Below are 1340 nucleotides of genomic sequence, written 5' to 3'. Positions count from 1 at the left end.
ATAGTAATGGGTTTTTCTACTATATATGAGCTTATACTAATGAGTTTACACTAATTTATTATACTAATATATATTATACAAATACTAATGAGTTTATACTAGTATATACATGAGTTTATACTAGTATATACATGAGTTTATACTAGTATATACATGAGTTTATACTAGTATATACATGAGTTTATACTAGTATATACATGTTTATACTAGAGTTTACATTAATATATGTTATACAGCCGGAGGAGCCAAGATGGCCGAATAGGAACAGCTCCGGTCTACAGCTCCCAGCATGAGCGACGCAGAAGATGGTGATTTCTGCATTTCCATCTGAGGTACCAGGTTCATCTCACTAGGGAGTGCCAGACAGTGGGCGCAGGTCAGCGGGTGCGCGCACCATGCACGAGCCGAAGCAGGGCGAGGCACTGCCTCACTCCGAAAACGCAAGGGTTCAAGGAGTTCCCTTTCCTAGTCAAAGAAAGGGGTGACAGACGGCACCTGGAAAATTGGGTCACTCCCACCCGAATACTGCGCTTTTCAGACCGGCTTAAAAAACGGCACGCCAGGAGATTATATCCCGCACCTGGCTCGGAGGGTCCCACGCCCATGGAGTCTCGCTGATTGCTAGAACAGCAGTCTGAGATCAAACTGCAAGGCGGCAGCGAGGCTTGGGGAGGGGCGCCCGCCATTGCCCAGGCTTGCTTAGGTAAACAAAGCAGCCGGGAAGCTCGAACTGGGTGGAGCCCACCACAGCTCAAGGAGGCCTGCCTGCCTCTGTAGGCTCCACCTCTGGGGGCAGGGCACAGACAAACAAAAAGACAACAGTAACCTCTGCAGACTTAAATGTCCCTGTCTGACAGCTTTGAAGAGAGCAGTGGTTCTCCCAGTACGCAGCTGGAGATCTGAGAACGGGCAGACTGCCTCCTCAAGTGGGTCCCTGACCCCTGACCCCCGAGCAGCCTAACTGGGAGGCACCCCCCAGCAGGGGCACACTGACACCTGACACGGCCGGGTACTCCAACAGACCTGCAGCTGAGCGTCCTGTCTGTTAGAAGGAAAACTAACAAACAGAAAGGACATCCACACCAAAAACCCATCTGTACATCACCATCATCAAAGACCAAAAGTAGATAAAACCACAAAGATGGGGAAAAAACAGAACAGAAAAACTGGAAACTCTAAAAAGCAGAGAGCTTCTCCTCCTCCAAAGGAATGCAGTTCCTCACCAGCAACGGAACAAAGCTGGACGGAGAATGACTTTGACGAGCTGAGAGAAGGCTTCAGACGATCAAATTACTCTGAGCTACGGGAGGACATTCAAATCAAAGGCAAAGAAGTTGAAA

The 1340-nt window shown here is 48.5% G+C and overlaps 1 annotated feature.

Annotated features, from left to right (window-relative positions):
• Positions 276–775: an enhancer, noted in NCBI's record as "H3K4me1 hESC enhancer chrY:1778143-1778642 (GRCh37/hg19 assembly coordinates)". NCBI's record gives its function as "activates a minimal SCP1, AML or CMV promoter by ChIP-STARR-seq in naive H9 embryonic stem cells {active_cell/tissue: H9 hESC(naive)}" and the evidence as "EXISTENCE:reporter gene assay evidence [ECO:0000049][PMID:30033119]".

Source organism: Homo sapiens, chromosome X (assembly GCF_000001405.40).
Source record: "Homo sapiens chromosome X, GRCh38.p14 Primary Assembly".
NCBI classification, from domain to species: Eukaryota; Metazoa; Chordata; class Mammalia; order Primates; family Hominidae; genus Homo; species Homo sapiens.
This window is presented reverse-complemented; position numbering and strand designations above follow the sequence as displayed.